General features: G+C 39.3%; 1 protein-coding gene across 23 annotated transcripts in view; it reads left to right on the top strand.

The window, feature by feature from the left end:
• HERC4 (HECT and RLD domain containing E3 ubiquitin protein ligase 4) overlaps window positions 1-22,615 on the top strand; it is a 153,379-nt gene that overhangs the window by 85,495 nt on the left and 45,269 nt on the right. For 17 of the 23 annotated variants that reach the window (NM_001278186.2, NM_015601.4, NM_001278185.2 and 14 more), the window contains one exon: window positions 954-1,126. The exons of 5 other annotated variants lie outside the window; for them this stretch is intronic. In NM_001278186.2, the coding sequence (NP_001265115.1) occupies window positions 954-1,126 (173 nt within the window). Of the gene's footprint in view, window positions 1-953; window positions 1,127-1,644; window positions 1,742-22,615 lie in introns of those variants that run through there. One more of the 23 variants, XM_047425002.1, reaches the window with a different exon arrangement.

The raw sequence follows: 22,615 nt of genomic DNA, 5'->3' as shown, positions 1-22,615 counted from the left end.
TGATTTTATTTTTCTGCCTATAGACTAGATTTTATTGCTCATCTGATCTTGCACTTCTATCTCTTACTGTTCTGGTTTTTTGGCATAAAGTTTTCTCACTTTAATTTTTCTAATTGTCTAGATTTTATCTCTATTTCCTGGCCTTTATACTTTTTTTGCTACATTTAACCCAGTGCTTTTCTTTCTAATGGTATTTGTTAGATATGTGGAGCTGAGATATATAGAAGTAATAATGTCAGTACAAGAACTTTAAGGCTGAGGGTAAATGGAGGAAGCAACAAGCAAGGGGTAGAATATGGGAATCTGAGGGAAAAAGAGTCAAGCAGGGACTGAAAAGAGTATTGCTTTCCTGTTGTCAGAAGTTTTTGTATTCTTTCTGCCTGCTTCATAGGATTGAAGTGTTTGTACTTAGTAACTACAAATAGTGAATGTGGGGAAGGACCCATATGTTACACTTTACATTGTTCAGCTTCTGTATTTGATCTTCAGGAGTACCTTGCATTTTAAAGGTAGTGGTTCACAATATTTCAACCATATATTAAATTGAAAGATAAAAGTTAGAAAGATCCTTTAGTATTAGAGCAATACAATTTAAAGGATGTTTTGTTTAAAAATTGAAACTGTAATTTTCAAAACATTTTTTAAAAACTGGTTTTAATATTAGGTATAGTGGTGAGTTTTTTATATAACTTAGGAAACCAAGAATATAAATTCAACAAGACTTTCACACTTTATTTTTGCTTTTGAGAGCTTTTCGGACAATATTGTTTAACTTGGTCGGGGGGAGGTTTATAAACCTTACAAATGTTACATAAGATATTGTGTTATATGCATCTTTCTGGGGTTTTCTCAGGTTTAACAACTACTGTTTCAGAAAAAAAGTCAGTATGATTTTGAAAATTGTGATTTTTTAAAAAATTCATTTTATTTGCATGTTCACTTTTTAATAACAGAAAACTGGTGGTCAGTACTTGAACCTCCACTATTCCTCAAGATAGTAGAACTTTTTAAGGAAGTTGTGGTACATCTTTTGAAACTCTACAAGATCGGTATTCCCCCTTCTGAAAGAAGAATTTTCAACAGTTTTCTTCATACTGCATTAAAGGTTTTAGAAATACTACATAGGGTATGTCCAATCATTCCTTTATTTTCCTCTTTCCCCATTCCTATTAACAGATTGATACTGTTCATTTTAACATTAATCTATTAAAGATTTAGATTGGCAAAAACAATGCATATTATAGAAATTTGGAAAAGTTATCTATACTTTCTCTTAAAAGAAGTAATAAACCTGTCCTTTGGAGCTCTGGTCTTACCTGACTTTGTTAGGCATGTATAGATAACTTATCCATAGTTGGGCAGAACAATAACATACTAATGAGTTAGAATTCTCCTTATATTTCCTTATGAAGAATATAATTTGTTAGTTTGCATTATATGGTTTTTGTTAGCTGTAAGTGGTTATCTTGTGAAAGAGATTGGGTCCTAGTTGTAATTATGAACATTAAAACTTGTGTTCTTTTGCTGTAGGGTACTAATGGCCTCAAAGTAGAACATTTCATTTGAAACAAATGACTAATTTAAAATTGGAACCGTATGTAATTCATTAATTTGCCTATTGTTCTTCCCTGCCCTTCTTCCCAGTGTAACAAATAGTACCCTTTACACTTGTAGCAGTTCAAAGTTATATGAAGAAGTAGACTCTGAGCTGTTTCATTAAAGATGGATTTTCATCCCTGACAGTTGGTAGGTATACCTCTGTTATGCCATTTGGTTTTCTCAAGTTGCTATTTAGATGAGACATGACCTAAGGGAGAAGCGTATGTTTCTAACCTATGGAATGACTAAAAAACCCACATGAACCTTTAATCTTTAGTTTCTTCTCCTTAACAGCTTCTTTGCATTTTCAGACCCTCTTGCCTAGTGCTAAGGTAAATAATAAAGGGATAAAGGAGATAATCCATCTGTTCTTTGTCTAAGAACAAACCTTTACCGGCCATTTATTTTCCTATTTTAGTGAAGCTCCTGGGTATTTTTCTCAACTACTTAACTTTCTGGACTTACTTTTTTCTTTGGTATTTAGTATGTCCAAGATTCCTAGAAAAACAACTCATTTCTCTTCATTTTGATTGATGAAATCATAGCCATGTATTTCCTAGGGAAACAGGTCATTCTTATGTTTGCCTTTACCCAGAACAGGGCTTTCTTTTAGCATATCAGGGTCCAGGTCTGCAGTAAACAGTTACTAAGAAGATTCTCTAACTACATGAGATGGGTCTCTACCTTTCTGTGTACTGTTTGCCGAGGATTCAAGAGATTAATTAGATTGTTTCTTTTCTCTGGACTTCATCCTACTGCTTTGGTGAACAATCCCTTTTCAGCTGGACCCTATTACCAAATAATTACTCATTCTGTGCTTTCATTATCTGCTTATCTTTATTCCCCCCTTTAAGAAATACTTTTTTTTCTTAGCTGTGTCTTTTACCTCGAGAAAATGGAAGGGGCAGAGAAGCGGGGGAAATTGAACATTTTTTCTTTCAAACTATAGGCAGAACTTAAGCAAGTAAGTTAAATTACCTGCCTAGCTCAGTAACTTCAGTCTCAACTAAGGAAGAACTTGATAGAGTTTCATCTTCAAAGACCTTTTTGATGGACTCATTCTAAATACTAGAATCTTCACATCTTGATAGTTGAAGGGGAAGGGAAAATTTATTGCTTGCTAACCACTAGAACCTCCTTTGTCTGTAGTTCATGTGAATACTCTAGATATATTTAACTTTAAAACCCTATATAGTCGGTATTTTGCCCCTTTTCATAGACTGGAAAAATGAATGTCCACATTTATATCAGCAGATATAGTAGTATAATCTCTTTAGAAGGGGGCTTGATTTTATTTTATGCCCCTAGATCTAGAAGTTCATATTCTAGATCACATATAGTATTATATTATAGGCGCTGGACTAGGAATCAAAAAGATCATATTTCTAACCCCTCTGTGTTGCTTCCTACCACTGTGATTTTGAAGAAGTCTTTTTCTTTATCCCATATGCAAATGAAGAATTATCTATAAGGATTGAAATACCAGCCCTGATAGTTTTCCAAGATTTATGTATTGTTTACATTATACAGTATGGGCTGGGCGTGATGGCTCATGCTTGTAATCCCAGCAGTTTGGGTGGTGAGGCGAGCGGATCACTTGAGGTCAGGAGTTTGAGACCAACCTGGCCAACATGGTGAAACCCCGTCTCCACTAAAAATACAAAAAAAAATTAGCTGGGTATGGTGGTGCATGCCTGTAATTCCAACTACCCAGGAGGCTAAGGCAAGAGAATCGCTTGAACCCAGGAGGCAGAGGTTGCAGTGAGCTGAGATCATACCACTGCACTCCAGCCTGGGCAAAAGAGTGAGACTCCGTCTCAAAAAAATAAATAATACAATATATGTAAGTTATTATATATTCATAAGACAGTGATTTTGTTACCACCACCACTTGAATGGAAAACCACTACTTTTGACTTGAAGAAATTATTGGGTTATGAGGAAACTGGGTTCTTGTTTGCAGTAGTTACAAAAGTCAAAAGCAGGATGATACTGGTATGACTTTCTTAAACATCTCTTTTTGGGAGGCTTTAGAGCAGTGAATTATCTTTCTTCTATGCCTTAGAGGAAACTTTCTTCATCCTGCTCTGCCATAAATAGGTATCTGTAGATATGAACTACGAGGGACGATTTATTTGTATCATTCAAGAAACCTATTACTATCAAAACTTGTTTATTCAAAGACACCTTGTATCTGACAGCTGCCTAAATTCCTTCCCTCTGCTCTATGGTTAAGAATTAAGGGGAATTTCCTCAGTTTTCTTCTTTCTCTAACTCTGGAGGATGATTATGAACCAGAGAACTGGACTTTGTGTTCCCTATTCATTTCAGGATTTATGGATGCACTTGTTCCTCCCATATGTCATGTCCTTTGGAAAGTTTTTGAATTAAAAATTGTTTTCAGTGCTCCAAATGGCATCATAAGAAAATACCTTTGGTACCTGCTGTCAGGAATGGATGTATTATCAGCTAAATGAGTTTACTGGCAAATAATTGGGTTATTTAGTAGTTTCCGAGTTCCACGTAGTACATTATAGACATGCTGGTATGCCAAAAGAGAAGCCTTACTTGGTCTGTCTAGCCTAGTCGCTACATATTTGTGCTGATCTAAATCAGTGATTTTCAAACTATTTTATGTAGAACCCTTAAATAAAACCAAACAGATAAAACATACTCACCATAACCACCCTTGAACTGAGGTTTTTAAGCAAGAATACTAAACTTTAATTAAAATGTGAAATAAAAGTGTTATAATCAAACTTATATAGGTTTTATTTTGTACATTTAGGCAATAATCCTAAACACATAAGTTGTTTTGAACTTCTACCGTGTGACTTCTTTTTAAAATTCATTTTGCAAATAGAGTGCCTACTATGTGCTTATTATTATATTAGATATTAGTGATGTAGTGATAAAAGACATGATTTCTGCCCTTGTTGAGCTTACAATATTGAGAGATTGTCTAAACTTTTTGGTCTTTATGTTACAGCATGGTAAGTACTAGATTAGGGAAAATGCAGAGTGCTATGAGAACACTTGGGAGGGCATGTAACTATGAAGGACTAAGGAAGACTTCCTGGAGAAAATGATGGCTGATTGAACCTTATCTACTATGCGAATATATTATTTTTATTCTAACATTAACATTTCTTTTCAAAAACGTATATATCATATCAGCAAGATATACAAACTGCAAACACTGGTTGCGTTTCTTTAATTTTTTTTAATTCTTAATTTTTGTGAGTACATAGTAGGTATATCTTTATGGGGTACATGAGATGTGCTATGAAATACTAGGTTTGGCCGGGTGCGGTGGTTCACTCCAGTAATGTAACCCCAGCACTTTGCGAGGCTGAGGCCGGTGGATCACTTGAGGTCAGGAGTTCAAGACCAGCCTGGCCAACATGGTGAAACCCCATCTCTACTAAAAATTACAAAAATTAATTGAGCGTGGTGGCACGTGTCTGTAATACCAACTATTCAGAAGGCTGAGGCAGGAGAATTGCTTGAACCCAGGAGGTGGAGGTTGCAGTGAGTCGAAATCGTGCCATTGCACTCCAGCCTGGGCAACAGAGTGAGACTCTGTCTCAAAAAAAGAAAAACCTAGGTCTTACTCATTTTTTTTTTAATATTTTTATTTTTATCTATTAGCCATCCCAACCTCACCCATGCCCCTGCCTCCCCACTACCCTTCCCAGCTTCTGGTAACCATTCTTCTACTCTGTGTCTCCATTAGATAAATTGTTTTGATTTTTAGATCCTACAAATAAGTGAGAACATGCGATATTTGTCTCTGTGCCTGGCTTATTTCACTTAAATAATGTCCTCCAGTTTTGTCCATGTTGTTGCACATGACACAGGAATGTCACTCTTTTTTTTTTTTTTTTTGAGATGGAGTCTCACTCTGTCGTCCAGGGTGGAGTACAGTGGCGTGATCTTGGCTCACTGCAGCCTCTACCTCTTAGGTTCAAGCAATTCTCTGCCTCAGCCTCCCGAGTAGCTGGGACTACAGGCATCTGCCACCACAACTGGCTAATTTTTTGTATTTTTAGTAGAGATGGGGTTTCACCACGTTGGCCAGGCTGGTCTCGAACTCCTGGCCTCAAATGATCCACCTGCCTCAGCCTCCCAAACTGTTGGGATTACGGGCGTGAGCCACCAAGCCTGGCCAGAATAGTACTTCATTGTGTATAAATACCACATTTTCTGTATTCGTTCTTTTTTTTTGAGATGGAATCTTGCTCTATTGCCAGGGCTGGAGTGCAGTGGCACAGTCTCAGCTCACTGCAACCTCCGTCTCCCGGGTTCAAGCGATTCTGCTGCTTCAGCCTCCTGAGTAGCTGGGATTGCAGGCGTACACCACCACACCCAGTTAATTTTTGTATTTTTTTTTTTTTTTTTTTGAGACAGAGTCTTCCTCTGTTGCCCAGGCTGGAGTGCAGTGGTGCGATCTTGGCTCACTGCAAGCTCCGCCTCCTGGGTTCATGCTGTTCTCCTGCCTCAGCCTCCCGAGCAGCTGGGACCACAGGCGCCTGCCATCACACCTGGCTAATTTTTTTTTATTTTGTATTTTTAGTAGAGACGGGGTTTCACCGTGTTAGCCAGGATGGTCTCTATCTCCTGACCTTGTGATCCGCCCACCTCAGCATCCCAAAGTGCTGGGATTACAGGCACAAGCCACTGCACCCGGCCTTATTCATTCACCTACTGATGGACACTTAGATTGCTTCCAAATCTTGGCAATTGTGAACAGTGTAGCAGTAGACCTGGTAGTGCAAATACCTGTATGATATACTGCTTTCGTTTCTTTTGGGTAGCTCCTCAGCAGTGGGATTGCTAGATCATGTGGTAGCTCTATTGTTAGTTTTTTGAGGAACCTCCAAATTGTTCTCCATAATGGTTGTACTAATTTACATTCTCACCAACAATGTACGAAGGTTCCCTTTAGTCCACATCCTTGCCAGCATTTGTTATTGCCTGTCTTTTGAATAAAAGCCATTTTAACTGGGGTGAGATATCTTACTGTAGTTTTGATTTGCATTTCACTGGTGTTCGGTGGTATTGAGCGCCTTTTCATATGCCCGTTTGTTTTTGTTTTGTTTTTTTTTTTTTTTGCTCAGTGCAACCTCCGCTTCCTGGGTTCAAGCAATTCTCCTGCCTCAGCCTCCCAATTAACTGGGACTACAGGCCCACGCCACCATGCCCAGCTAATTTTTTGTATTTTATTAGAGACGGGGTTTCACCGTGTTGCCCAGGCTGGTCTTGAACTCCTGAGCTCAGGCGATCCACCCGTCTCAGCCTCCCAAAATGCTGGGATTACAGGCATGAGCCACCGCACCCTGCCGCCTGTTTGGTATTTTTATGTCTTCTTTTGAGGAATGTCTATTCAGCTCTTTTGCCCACTTTTTAAATTGGATTATTGCATTTTTTTCTATAGAATTGTTTCAGCTCCTTATATATTCTGGTTATTAATCCCTTGTCAGATGATTAGTTTGCAAATATTTCCTCCCATTCTGTTTGTTGACTGTTTCCTTTGCTGTGTAGAAGTTTTTTAATTTAATGTAATCCCGTTTGTCCACTTTTGCTTTGGTTGCATGTGCTTGTGGGGCATTAGGAAATTTTTGCCCAGACCAATGTCCTGGAGAGTTTCCCCTAATGTTTTCTTAAGTAGTTTCATAGTTTGAGGTCTTAGATTTAATCATTAATCATTTTGATTTGATTTTTATATATAGTAAGAGATAGGGGTCTAGTTTGATTCTTCTTCATACAGATATTCAGTTTTCCCAGTACCATTTATTGAAGAGACTGTCTTTTGTCCAGTGTATGTTCTTGGTTCTTTTGTCAAAAATGAGTTCATTTTAGGTGTGTAGATTTGTTTCTAGGTTCTCTAGAAACAAATTTGTTCTGTTCCATTGGTTTATGTGTCTGTTTTCATGCCAGTACCATGCTCTTTTGATTACTATACCGCTGCACTATAATTTGAAGTCAGGTAATATGATTCCTCGCAGTTTTGTTCTTTTTGCTTAAGATAGCTTTGACTATTCTGGGTCTTTTGTGGTTCTGTGTAAATTTTAGGATTGTGTTTCCTATTTCTGTGATCAATGTCATTGGTATTTTGATAAGGATTGCAATGAATCTGTAGATTGCTATAGGTGGTATGGACATTTTAACAATATTGAACATGGAATATCTTCCATTTTTTGTGTCCTCTTCAATTTCTTTGATAGTTTTTCTTTTTTTCTTTTGAGATGGAGTTTCACTGTGTTGTCTAGGCTGGAGTAAGTACAGTGGCCTGATCTCGGCTCACTGCAACCTCCACCCCCCCGATTCAAGTGATTCTCATGTCTCAGCCTCCCAAGAAGCTGGGATTACAGGCCACTCCAGGCTATTTTTTAGTAGAGATGGGGTTTCGTCATGTTGACTGGGCTGGTTTTGAACTCCTGGCCTCAAGTAATCCACCCGCCTTGGCCTCCCAAAGTGCTGGGATTACCCGGTGTGAACCACCATGCCTGGCCTATTTCAGTTTTTTTGAATGGTTTAAGACTTGTTTTATGACATAACATATGGTGTGTCTTTGAGAGTGATCCATGTGCTAAGGAGAACAATGTTTATTCTGCAGCCATTGGATGAAATGTTCTGTAAATATGTGTTTGGTCCATTTGGTCTATAGTGCAGATTAAGTCTCATGTTTCTTTGTTGGTTTTCTGTCTGTACATCTCTGTCCAGTGCCAAAAGTGGAGTGTTGAAGGCTTCATCTATTACTGTACTGAGGTCTATTTCTCTCTTTAACTCTAATAATATTTGCTTTGTATGTCTAGGTGCTCCAATGTTGGGTGCATATATGTTTACAATGATTATATCCACTTGCTAATTTGACCACTTTATCATTATATAGTGACCTTCTTTGTCTCTTCTTACACTTTTGTAATCTATTTTCTCTGATATGGTAGCTACTCCTGCCCTTTTGGCTAACACTGGCATGGGATATCTTTTTCCATCCCTTTATTTTGAGTCTGTTTGTCTTTATAAGTGAAGTGTGTTTCTTGTAGGCAACAGGTCATTTGGTCTTATTTTTCTATTCATGCAGCTTTATGTCTTTTGATTCATGAGTTTAGTTCATTTACATCCAATGTTATTGATAAGTAAGGACACACTCCTCCTATTTTGTTACTCATTTCTGGTGGTTTTGCAGTTTTCTCTTCCTTTTTTTTCTTGCTGTTTTGTTTTTAGTGAAGGTGATTTTCTCTGGTGATATGATTTAGTTTTTGCTTTTTATTTTTTGTGTATTCATTATATGCTTTTGGTTTCAGGTTACCATGGGGCTTGCAGATACTATCTTATAACCCATTATTTTAAATTGATAACAACTTAACACTGTTTGTATAAACAAATAAGCAAAAAGAAGAGTAATGAAAACTCTACACCTTAACTTTGTACTCCTGCTTTTTAACTTTTTGTTGTTTCTATTTATATCTTATACTCTGTTTTGAAAAGTTGTTGTAGTTGTTATTTTTGATTGGTTAATTGTTTATAGTCTCTCTACTTAAGAGTAGTTTACACACCATAATTACAGTGTTGTAATATTCTGTATTTTTCTGTATACTATTGAGTTTTATACCTTTAGATGATTTGTTATTGCCCATTAATGTTTTTTTCTTTCAGATTGAAGACCTCCATTTAGCATTTCTTGTTCCACAGGTCTAGTGTTGATAAAATTCCTCAGCTTTTGTTTGTCTAGGAAAATATTTGTCTTTCAGGGTGGGGTGCGGTGGCTCATGGCTGTAATCCCAGCACTTTGGGAGACTGACGCGGGTGTATCACCTGAGGTCGGGAGTTCGAGACCAGCCTGACCAACATGGAGAAACCCCTTCTCTACTAAAAATACAAAATTAGCCAGGCATGGTGGCGCATGTCTGTAATCCCAGCTACTTGGGAGGCTGAGACAGGAGAATCATGCCAGTACCGTGCTGTTTTGATGACTATCTGGAAGGCGAAGGTTGTGGTGAGCCGAGATCGCGCCATTGCACTCCAGCCTAGGCAACAAGAGCGAAACTCTATCTCAAAAAAAAGTATTTATCTTTCATGTTTGAAGGATATTTTCACTGGATAAATTTTCCCTTCAATACTTTAAATGTCATGCCATTCTCTCCTGGCCTGTAAAGTTTGCCCTGAGAAGTCTGCTGCCAGCATATTGGCACACCATTGTATGTTATTTGTTTTTTTCTCAGACAGGTTTTTTTTTCTTTTTTTTTTGAGATGGAGTCTTGCTCTGTCGCCCAGGCTGGAATGCAGTGGCACTATCTCGGCTCACCGCAAGCTCCACCTCTCAGGTTCACGCCATTCTCCTGCCTCAGCCTCCTGAGTAGCTGGGACTACAGGTGCCCGCCGCCACACCCGGCTAATTTTTTTGTATTTTTAGTAGAGACGAGGTTTCACCGTGTTAGCTGGGATTATAGGTGTGAGCTACTGCGCCCAGCTCTTGTTTTTTTCTCTTTCTGTTTTCAGGATCCTTGGTTTATCATTGACCTTTGGAAGTTTGATTATTAAATGTCTTCAAAGAGTCTTATTTGGATTAAGTCTGCTTGGTGTTCTACAGTCTTCTACTTGGATATTGATATCTTTTTCTATGTTTGGGAAGTTCTCTGTCATTATCTCTTTGAATTAATTTTCTGCCCCATCTATCTCCTCTTTAAGGCCAGTAACTTAGATTTGCCCTTTTGGGCCTTTTTTCTAGATTCTGTAGGCATGCCTTATTGTTTTTTATTCTTTTTTCTTTTGTCTCCTCAGCTCACTAATTCTTTCTTCTGCTTGATCAATTCTCCTATTAAAAGACTCTGAGACATTCTTCGGTATGTCAATTACATTTTTTCAGCTCCAGAATTATTGCTTCATTCTTTTAAATGATTTCAGTCTCTTTGTTAAATTTATCTGGTATTCTTTCTCTGTATTATCTTGAATTTCTTTGAGTTTCTTCAAAATAGCTATTTAGAATTCCCTGTCTGAAAGGTCATGTGTTTCTTTTTCTCCAAGATTTGTCTTTGGTGCCTTATTTTGTTCATTTGGTGAGGTCATGTTTTCCTGGATGGTCTTGATAACTTAACAGATGTTCCTCTCTGTCTGGGCATTAAAGAGTTAGAGTTACGTATTTATTGTAGTCTTCGCGGTTTGGACTTGTGTGTCTTCGTGCTTCTTGGAAAGGCTTTCCAGATATTCAGAAGGACTTGGATGTTGTCATCGCTTAGAAGCTGTATCTGCTTTAGTTGGCACCCCACACCCAGTAGTGCTGTGGTTCTGGCAGACTCATAAAGGTACTGCCTTGATGGTCTTAGACAAGGTCTGGAAGAATTCTCTGAATTACCAGGCAGAGACTCTTGTTCTTTCTCTTTCCTTACTTTTTCCAAAACAAACTTTGTCTGTTCTGAGGCACCTGGAGCTGGGGGTGGAGTGACACAAGCACCCCTGTGGCGATGCTACCACCACTGGGACTACACTGGATCAGACCTGAAGCCAGCACAGCACTGGGTCTCACCCAAGGCCTGTTATAACAACTTCCTGGCTACTGACTATCTTCACTCAAGGTGCTGGCGCTCTACAATCACCAGGTGGCAAAGCCAGCCTGGCCTGTGTCCTTCCCTTCGGGGCAGCTAGTTTCCCCAGGCCCTTGGTGACTCCAGAGGTGCTGTCTGGGAGCCAGGGACTAGAGTGAAAAACCTTAGACGTCTACCTGGTGTTCTGTTGTACTGCAGCTGAGCTGGCCCTCAAACCACAAAATAGTCCTTACCACTCATCCCTCCCCTTTGCAAAGGCAGAGGAACACCCCAGACCTCCCCTTGGCCACTGTCACCAGGGGCCTGTGGGGAGTACTGCCAGAATACTGCCAGTGTTTCCTTGAGGCCCAAGGGGTTTTTTTGTTTGTTTGTGTTTGGAGACGGAGTCTCCTGTCGCCCAGGCTGGAGTGCAGTGACGCAATCTCAGCTCCTCCATCTCCTGGGTTCAAGCGATTCTCCTGTCTCAGCCTCCTGAGTAGCTGGGACTACAGGCCTGCACCACTATGCCTGGCTAATTTTTGTATTTTTAGTAGAGATGGGGTTTCACCATGTTGGCCAGGCTGGTCTCAAACTCCTGACCTCAAGGATCTGCCTGCCTTGGCCTCCCAAACTTGCTGGGATTACAAGTGTGAGCCACCATGCCCAGCCCAAGGGCTTTTTTGAGACAAGGTCTGGCTCTATTGCCCAGGCTGGAGTGCAGTGGCACAATCTCGGCTCACTATACTCTCTACCTCCCAGGCTCAAGCAGTCCTCCCACCTCAGCCTCCCAAGTAGCTGGGACTACAGGCATGTGACATTGTGCTGGCTAATTTTTGTATTTTTTGTGGAGATAGTGTTTCTCCATGTTGGCCAGGCTGGTCTTGAACTCCTGACCTCAAGTAATTTGCCAGCCTCGGCCTCCCAAAGTGCTGGGATTAGAGGCGTGAGCCACCATGCCTGGTCCTTAAGGGCTCTTTAGTCAGCTTGTGGTGAATGCTGCCTGGCATGGGACTTACCCTCTGGCCCAGCACAGGTCCAGAAATGCCATCTAAGAACCAAGTCCTGGAATTTGTTCACCCTCCTACGTTGGAGCTGGTACCCAAGGTACAAGACAAAGTCCCCTTTACTTTTCCTCCACTTTTCTCAAGCAGGAGTCTTGCCCCATAGCTGCCATGGTAGGGAATGTGCTGAGTCTCACCTGAAGCCAGGAAGTTTCAGGCTCACTCAAGGCCTTTGTACCTAGTACATGGATATTGCTGCTGATTATTCAGGGACCCAAGGGCTCTTCAGTTAACAGATAATGAAAGCTGTCAGGACTGGGTCTTTCTTTTCGAGGCAGTGGGTTCCCTTCTGGCCACTGTGTATCTAGAAATGTTGTTCAGGAGCTACAGTCTGGAAAGCAGTCTTCACAACTTTGACTGGTGCCCTATCCAGCTGTGGCTGAGCTGGTATCCAAGATGCAAGACAAAGTTCTCCCCACTCTTCCCTCCAGTCTTCTCTCCGCAAGTGGAAGGAGAAGATCTCTTTTGGAGCCACAAGCTGTGCAGCCTTGGGTTAAAGGAGGGGTAGTGCCAGCAGTCCCTAAACAGCCCCAGCTGGTGTCTCAGTAGGTCACATGCCTCTCCAGCTCACTGGCTCTGGGCCCAGTTCTGCACTTGGACTCACCTAGTAGTTGCGGTCCTTGTGGCCTGCACTATGTTTGAAGTTTATTGAGGGCCCCAGAGCACTTTAGCCCACCATGGTGAGGCTTGCAGGAACTCACATTTTGACAACTGGGACCCACAGTTCCCCTCTGGCTAGGGCTGGGTTTTAATGCTCCCTCTGTGGACAGGAGTCAGCTAAGTTTGATCCAGTTTTACTTTTTGCTGTAACAGGGCAGTGCTGAGCTCAATGCCTAACAATTGCTGCATTCTTTCTCTCCCCGGTGCACAGAAATGCTCTCTGCACCACAATGCCTCTGCCAGGGGCTGGGAGAGGGGTGATGTTGGTGATTCAAGACTTTTTTGTATCTCTTTTTTTCAGCAATATGAAGTTGAAACCAGGTGCTATGAGTGCTCACCTGATTTTTGGTTCTCAGGAAGATGCTTTTTTTGTGTAGATAGTTGTTAAATTGGTGTCCATGCAGCTGGGACAATCAGTGGAGCTTTCCATTTTGCCCTATTGCTTCACCTCTTCCACCTGTTTGCTTTTAGGGATGGAAACTGTGGTTTCACTTTTAAATTTTAAGTAAGATAAACAAAAATATATATCAGAGGTCAGTGGGATGTGAATCATATTCTGCAAGAGTCACTAAATTTTAGAATCCAATGTGATTAAAAATTAGTTTGTATATGTATAAACATAAATATTGGAGAGGGGAAAGCCATTGTGTTTTTTGTATAACTATTCTGTATATTTCTTTTTTTAGTAGAAAGAGTTTGGCTAATTATTTCAGTTGATTAAAGCACAATACTAAAGACTCCAGGGTAGGACCTGCAAACTTTTTCTGTAAAGGACCAGATAGTAAGTATTTTATGCTTTGTGAGCCATACAGTTTTTGTTGCAACTAGTCAACTCTCAACTCCACTGTGGACAGCATGTAAATGGATGGGAGTGGCTGCTTTCCAGCAAAATTTACTTAAAAAAAAAAAAAACAGTGGGTAGCATTTGACCTGGGTAGCATTTGACCCACAGGTTGTAGTTTGCCGACCCCTTCTTTTAGGATGAAAATTTTGGTCTCCATATGTAAACTTGGTGTCTTTGTTTTGTTTGAAAGCTAGTAATAGCAGTATAACTCTGGTCAGTTTCTCCCAAATGAGTATCCTGGCCACAGATATAAAGCAATCAAAACAGTGGGAGAAAAAAAGAACTGAAAGTGCTTTTGTCAATAATTAGAGGAGATAAAAGTATCAACTGTGAAAATAAAAGCAGTATTATTAAATGTGTGCTTTTTAAATTGGATTATTTGTACAATGCTAAGCCACAAGATCAAGCAAATTGGACAGTCATATAGTGAGTTAAGAATGCATGTGTCGGCTGAGCATGGTGGCTCACGCCTGTAATCCCAGCACTTTGGGAGGCCGAGGTGGGTGGATCACCTGAGATCAGGAATTTGAGACCAGCCTGGCCAATATGGTGAAATCCCATCTCTACAAAAATACAAAAAATTAGCTGGGCATGGTGGTGGGCACCTGTAATCCCAGCTACTTAGGAGGCTGAGGCAGGAGAATTGTTTGAACCTGGGAGGTGTCAACAGAGCAAGACTCTGTCCAAAAAAAAATAGAATGCATGAGTTATATTTCTGGCTCTGTTACTTACGTGACCTTGGTTACTTTCTTAAATGCTAAGCCTTAGTATACTCATCTTTATGATCATAATAATAGTATACATTTCATAAGACTGTTTAAATGAGACAATGTACATGAAGTCCACTTTAATGATAGGTTTTATTTTATTATTGGAGCATAAAATTTGAGTGAATTTTTTTTTTTTTAAAGACAGAGTTTGGCTCTTGTCACCCAGGCTGGAGTGCAATGGCACGATCTCGGCTCACCACAACCTCTGCCTCCCGGGTTCAAGCGATTCTCCTGCCTCAGCCTCCCAAGTAGCTGGGACTACAGGCGTGCGCCACCATGCCTGGCTAATTGTTGTATTTTTAGTAGAGACGGGGTTTCACCATCTTGGCCAGGCTGGTCTCGAACTCCTGACCTCATGATCCAACCACCTCAGCCTCCCAAGGTTCTGGGATTACAGGCATGAGCCACTGCGCCCAGCCAAATTTGAGTGAATTTTAAGGTAGAGTCTGCATTGTAGTGAAAATTTTAGCTTCCCTTCTCGATATGCATACTGAAGCCTGACAGTCCCCTATGCCCCTCCATGGAATGAGGCAGGGTAATGGTGTTATATATGTGTTTGTTCTCTTTCTCTATTAGGAATACTTCAGGGCAAAAGTTCAGAAAACATGAAAATTATATAAACAATTCTTTTTACGAAAAATTAACAATAAGCATACATTATAATACATCTCACTGAAAATGCAACAGATATAGACCGATCCTTTTAAAGTGCCATTAGAAGTAAGAACTATAGGCAATATCTCTTAAGTTTTATCTGTCCATCCATTCGTCTCATATTTATTGAGCACCTGTTTGGACACCAGCATTGTCTGGTTAGATTTATATATTTACTGAGTGATTCATTTTGTTCCCTTTCAGATATTCCTTAGTTTTAGTGTATATGTGATTATTCACAAATTATAATACTTTTGTTATTCTTCAAAGGAAAGTTAGCTAGTTTTGTTTAGTTTGTATGTTAGATCAACTTTATTTGTTTCTTTGGTGGTTTTTCTTCTCTTAAGTGCAACATCTCTATAGGGTCTGCATTTGGCTCCTTTTGTTTTACTTTCTACCTCTCCCTTACCTACTGCCACAGCTTATAGTTGTCTCCTTTAAGGAAAATGACTGTCAGTTATGTCTCTGAGGCAAACGTTTCTCGAGTAACTTGACAGTCCTGCCATTACTTTCAACTAAGAAAGGTTGTCTTGTTTTCCTGACCCTGTGTGTATGTGTGTGTGTGTGTGTGTGTGTGTGTGTGTGTGTGTGTGTGTGTGTACAGTAATTTTTTTTTTTTTTTTTTTTTGAGACAGAGTCTCTCTCTGTTGCCAGGCTAGAGTGCAGTGGCGTGATCTCGGCTCACTGCAACCTCTGCCTCCCGGGTTCAAGTGATTCTTCTGCCTCAGCCTCCCGAGTAGCTGGGTCTACAGGCACGTGCCACCGCACCCAGCTAATTTTTCTATTTTTAGTAGAGATGGGGTTTCACCATGTTGAATGGTCTCGATCTCTTGCCCTTGTGATCTGCCCACCTTGGCCTCCCAAAGTTCTGGGATTACAGGCATGAGCCACCGTGCCCAACCTATGTACAGTAATTTTTAAAATTACTCTTACCCAGGGTTGAAATATTGAAGTTGTCTTTGACTCTTCTCGTTTTCCATATCCGTTAGCTGCCATGACCTCTGAATTCTTATCTAGAGACTTTAAATCTTCTAGCAATATCCTAATCCTATTGCCAGCCTCTCTACTTATTCTTGACTATACCTCACTCTCTCAGCCGAATAATATTCATAAAATACAACTGGTTCTGTTACTTTTTAAATCTAAAACCTTATTTCCCCATGTATCAACTTTTGCCATAGTAATATTCTGTAACAAAACATGCCAGAACTCATTGGCATACAATGATGAACACTTATTCTAATTCCTACGGGATTGGGCCTTGTTTTAGCCTAAGCCTTGGCTGAGGATGGCTAACCTAGAGACGGTTGAGGTCAGCTTATTTCCCAACTGCATGTTGAATCCAGTTTTGCTCCATGTGCCGCTCATTCTCTTTAGCAGTTTAGGTGGGGGCAATTACATACAGATTGTGTCTCTTTAGCTGGTGCTGTTCTCTCTGCCTAGAATGTTCTCCTTCAAACCTTTTTTTTTTAAATGTTTTCCATTCACTTTCCTTTTTGATTTTTATTTGCAGTATCTTCAAACCTACAGAAACATTGAAAACAAATATAATTAAAACCTGTGTGCCCTCCATTCTAGATTCAGCAGTTGTTAACATGCTGTCACATTTGCTTTATATATGTGTGTGTATATTCTTTTTTCATGAATCATTTGAAAGTAAAATGTAGATATCATCCTTTAATACTTAATCTTTCATCTCTTAAGAATACAGGCATTTTTCTGTGTAACAGCAGTAGCATTATTTCTCTTAAGGAAGTTAACTATAATTCTATAATATCATCTATCTGTGCATGCATATTTCAAATTTCCTCATTTATAGCAAAAATGTTGTTTATATTACTGCTTTTTAAATAACTAGAGTCCAGTCAAATTTTGGTTTTTGCAATTGTTTGTTGAGTCTTGCTACTCTCCTTTCTGATTCATGAACATGGTGAATGACTCTTCAGTTTCTCTCAGCAGTGCTTGGTAGTTTTCAAGGATCTTGCATATTCTTTTAAAAATTTTATTCCTTCTCTTTCTCAAAGATTTATTCCTAAATGTTTTATGTTTTTGATGCTATTGTAAATGATTTTTAAAATTTTTATTTTCCAATTATTTGTTGCTAGTACAGAGAAATTCTTTTTTTTTTTTTTTTTTTTTTTTTTCCTCTTTTTTGAGACAGAGTTTGACTCTTTTTGCCCAGGCTGGAGTGCAGGCACGATCTCAGCTCACCGCAACCTCCGCCTCCCGGATTCAAGCGATTCTTCTGTCTCAGCCTCCCGAGTAGCTGGGATTACAGGCATGCACCACCATGCCCGGCTAATTTTGTATTATTAGTAGAGATGGGGTTTCTCCATGTTGGTCAGGCTGGTCTTGAACTCCCGACCTCAGGTGATCTGCCCACCTCGGCCTCCCAAAGTGCTGGGATTACCGGTGTGAGCCACCGTGCCTGGCCTTTTTTTTTTTTTTTTTTTTCCTTTGAGACAGAGCTTCACTCCTGTCACCCAGACTGGAGTGCAATGGTGAGACCTTGGCCCACTGCAACCTCTGCCTCCCAGGTTCAAATGATTCTCCTGCCTCAGCCTCCCAAGTAGCTGGGATTACAGGTGTCCACCACCACACTCAGCTAATTCTTACATTTGTAGTAAAGATGGGGTTTCACCATATTGGCCAGGCTGGTCTCAAACTCCTGAACTGTAGTGATCTGCCTGCCTCAGCCTCCCAAAGTGCTGAGATTACAGGCATGAGCCACTGTACCTGGCCTAGAGAAAATCAATTGAGTTTTGAGTGTTGGCCTTTTACCCTATGATCTTGATAAATTCTTAGTTCTGGTAATTCTCTTATAGATTGATTCATTTGGCTTTTTTATATACACAATCATGTTATTTTCTTGGCATATTTTATTAACTAAGAATTTCAGTACAATGTTGAATATAAGTGGTTATGGTGGTCATTCTTGCCTAGTTCCTAATCTTAGAAAGAAAGCATTCAATATCTTAATAGTAAGTATAATGTTAAATGTCGGTGGGGGGTGGGGGTGGTTAGATGGGTTTTATCTGTTTGAAGAAATTTTCTTCCATTTCTCATTTGCTGAGAGTGTTTATTATAAATGGATTTGAATTTTATCAGATATTGTTTCCATCTGTTGAGATGAACAGATGATTTTTTTCTCCTTTTTTTAGAAATATTGTGAAATTCATTGATAGTTGGATGTTAAACCAACCTTGCATTCTTGAGATGAACTTTACTTGGCATTATATTTGTATTATACTTTATATATATTATTGGATTTAATTTGCTAATATTTTATTGATGGTTTATATCTGTGTTCATGAGGGATATTGATCTGTAATTTTTATTTCTCATATTGCTGTTAGCTTTTGGTATCAAGTTTATTCTGGCTTCATAAAATGAATTAAGAAATGATCCTTCTTTATTTTCTGAAAAAGTTTGATTAAGATTGGTATTATTTCTTTATTAAATGTTTGATATAATTCATCAGTGAAACCATTTTGGCCCTGGAGTTTTCTTTTGGGAAAATTTTAAATTTCCTATTAAATTTAAAAAATAAATATAGACATTTCAGGTTTTCTGTTTCTTCCTGAGTCAGTTTTACCAAGATATCTATGTAATCATGTTTCTTCTTTAATTCCTGATAGTGGTAAATTGTGTCATCTCTTTTTCTTGGTCAGTCTGACTGTAGGTTTATTCATTATTATCTTTTCAGAAAACTCATTTGCTTTTAATTTCTTCTCTAGTGTTTTTCTGTTTTCTCTTTCATTGATTTCTTTGTTTCCTTCTGCTTGATTTGTGCTTAATATGATCTTTTTTTTTCTAGATTCTTAAAGCAGAAACATTGATCATTGATTTTAGACCCTTTATTTCTAATATGATCATTTAATGCTATAGATTTTCTTTTATGCCTGGATTTATTAGCATCCCACAAATTTTTATGTGTTTTTACTTTTAAGTTCAAAATATTTTCCTAAAGCCCCTGTTTCCTAGCTCCAACATTTGGGTCTTCTCTGAATCTGACTCTGTTGATTGCTTTGTCTCTAGACACTTTTTTGTTTTGTTTTGTTTGTTGATTTTTTTTTTTTTTTGAGACAGAGTCTCGCTCTGTCACCCAGGGTGGAGTGCAGTGGTGCAATCTCAGCTCACTGCAACCTCCACCACCTAGGTTCAAGCAATTCTCGTGCTTTAGCCTCCCAAGTTGCTGGGATTACAGGCATGTGCCACCACGGCCAGCTAGTTTTTGTATTTTCAGTAGGGACAGGGTTTCACCACATTGGCCAGGGTGGTCTTGAACTCCTGACTTCAGGTGATCCACCTGCCTTCTCCTCCCCGAGTGCTGGGATTACAGGCATGAGCCACCATGCCCAGCCTGTTCAGTTGATTTTTGATATGTCTCATAATTTTGGGTTATCTATAAAATAGTAAGAAACTGAAATCAATAGGTTTAAAGCTTATAAATTGGTACACCTCTACTATCTGGTATTAGTGTAAGGATTTGAGTTTAGTCAGGAGTTAAGCTGGAATTGAATTTTTAATTTGCTATAAATACCTTCATTACACTACAGGCCTGTAATGCTAGAGGAATTTGAGGCCTCTAACATTGGAGGAATTTGAGGCCTGTAGTACAATGTTTAGGGTGGAAGTGGGGTGTCAAATGGTTTTTGTGAATGTTTGTGCCCCACTTTGCATGCCTACTCCTTAGAGGGATTTTGTTCTCATTCTTTCCTCTTGTCAGTTGTAAACTGGTATTGCTTGTTACTCAGTGCTTTCAAGATTGGTAGAGGAGAGGGAACAGAAATGGTTCTTGGTTGTTGTGGTATAGCCTTGGTTTTAGGTAGATTATGTGTGCCTGGACCTTTGTCAGAGTTCCCTCCCCTCTTCCTGTGGCAACCAAACTCTGCTTCCGATTTTTTTGTGTGGCAGTTTCTGCTCCCTCCCCCAGCAATTGCAGACCTCTAGTCCTACTGATATAAGATTCTGAGCCTAGGACTGTTCTTGTCACCTTTCCTCCCAGGAATTGAAGGTTTTTCCCTCCCTCAGCAACAAGACATGGGTTTGCGTCCCCTTCCTCAGTGGCTGAAGGCTTTTGCTCTGTGTGAAAGAAGGATCTGGGCAGGGTGACGGGCCTTTGTTCCTTTCTCATGTGGCAGCTAATTCCTTGTACCATTGAGAGAGGCTCTTGATATTCTGCCTTGTTTCCTTTTTTCCCCCCCTCTGCCTTGTTTCCAGTTGTTTCATGGGCACCCAGTGGCATCTATGGACAAGAGGCTGTGAGTGAGTGCCAACTGCCTGGGACTCTGCGGGGTTTCATACTATCAAGCTACCCCACACTCAGCTTTAAGTGATCCTTAAAATTTTAGTGTATTACTTCTGCTTATATGACAGTAGTAGTTTCCTCTTTCTCTCTGCCACAAATGAGCCAATTCTGGTACCCTGTTACCTTTTGTAAGGATTTGTTGATCCTTGGATTCAGGCTACTTGGTTGTCTTGTAACTTTAGCTCTCTCACAGGTTCAAGAAAAGTTTTCAGTAATTAGAAGTGTTTTGTTTAATTGCCAGTATTCTAGGATTTTCCAAATCTCTTTCTGTTACTGATTTTAGTTTAATTCCATTGTGGACAGAGAACATATGTTGTATACTTTGGATTCTTTTAAATGTATGAAGACTTATTGTATGGTCCAGGATTTGGTCTATCTTAGTGAACATTTCATGTACAATTATTAGGTGAAGTGTTATGACAGTGAGTGCAAGTTGGTTTAAATTGTTATTCAGATCATCTATACTTGCTGGTTTTGTCTATTTTTTTCTATCAGTTAATGAGAGCAGTGTTAAAAATCTCCAAATATAATCATGGTTCTGTTGATTTCTCTTTCATATATTTTCAAGCTCTGCTGTTTTTGGATTGTTGTGACTTCTTGGTGAATTAATCCTTTTATTATTATGAAATATGCCCCTTTTCCTCTGGAAATGCTTGTTTTGAACTCTTACTGTAAGAGTAGCCTCTCTGGCCAGGCGCGGTGGCTCACACCTGTAATCCCAGCACTTTGGGAGGCCAAGGTGGGCAGATCACGAGGTCAGGAGATTGAGACCATCCTGGCTAACATGGTGAAACCCCATCTCTACTAAAAATACAAAAAAAAATTAGCCAGAGGTGGTGGTGGGCGCCTGTAGTCCCAGCTACTCAGGAGGCTGTGGCAGGAGAATGGCATGAACCTGAGAGGCGGAGCTTGCAGTGAGCCGAGATCACACCACTGTATTCCAGCCTGGGCAAGAGAGCGAGACTTTGTCTCAAAAAAAAAAAAAGGAGTAGCCTCTCAGCTGTGCTTTCTGTTGGTTTATTGGGTTTGAGTTTTATTTATTTATTTATTTATTTTTAGCAGGTCTTACTTTGTGCCTTGTGCATTCATGGTTTAGAGTTAGCCAAGGATGTGGGGGGAATTTGCACATAGATTTTGGGGCTTCGTCCTCTGGATTCCTTTCTTTGATTTTTTTATTCCTCACTGTCTGGCTGTGCTGGCAGCTTCAGTCTGTCTATTAAGACTGCTGCTTTCTGCTTGAGCTCTATCCTCTACTTGTGTCCATTCCTGTTTCTGCCTACTTTTGGTGGATCTCCAGTGTTTTTAAGTACAGTAGTTGTTCTTTAATGTATTGTCTAGAGTTTATAATTGTTAGTGCCAGGAAGAGTAGTCTGATACAAAGTATTCTGCCATATTTAGTACCAGAATTCCTCTAGTCTCTTTTAATTTAGAATAGCTCCTTTTTTTTTCAATCCCTGCTACCTTGACTTTTTGAAGATTCTTGGCCAGTTTTCTTATAAAAGTTTCATAATCAGGATTTGTCTGATTGTTTCCTCATTGTGATGTTTATTTAACTTGTTCCTCTATCCCTTGTATTTCCTATAAACTAAAATTTAGATTAGGAGACTTGATTGGATTTGGGTTAAACTATTTTTACTTCATAGATCATTTGTATGCTTCTTGTTGAGCTATATCACCAAGAACATAATATTTCATTGTTCCAGTATTGGTGATGATTAGTTAGATCACTTGATGAAGATGGTGCTCTCCACTGTAAAGATTTGTTTTTATCTTTGTAATTAATAGGTAATCTCTAGGGTGGTAATTTGCATCCTCTTCATTTTTCACATCGTGTCCAGATATCACCTTCTAAAGTTTATTCTAATCAGATGCCAGCACAGAGCAACACTTAACAAGCATTAGCTGCTATTATTATTAAGGTCCCATTTCCCAACCATAAGTCTTTATAGTATCTAGTTTATATATACCGTATACAGTTTAATCATTACATATCTCATACTGTGTTGTAGTTATAAAGACATGTCTTTTCTAGATTTTGGGGTACTGAATGCAGATATCACATCTTACAAATCTTTGTGTCTCCCATAGCACTTAACTAGCATTTTGCATATAGTAGGCACTCAGTAATTATTTTTTGTAGGAAGAAAAAAATAGCTAAGAAAATCCCCAAAGCATTTTTTTCTTTAGAT

Source organism: Homo sapiens, chromosome 10 (assembly GCF_000001405.40).
Source record: "Homo sapiens chromosome 10, GRCh38.p14 Primary Assembly".
Classification (NCBI taxonomy): Eukaryota; Metazoa; Chordata; class Mammalia; order Primates; family Hominidae; genus Homo; species Homo sapiens.
The sequence above is the reverse complement of the archived record's forward strand: the minus strand, read 5'-3'. Positions and strand labels throughout refer to the sequence as shown.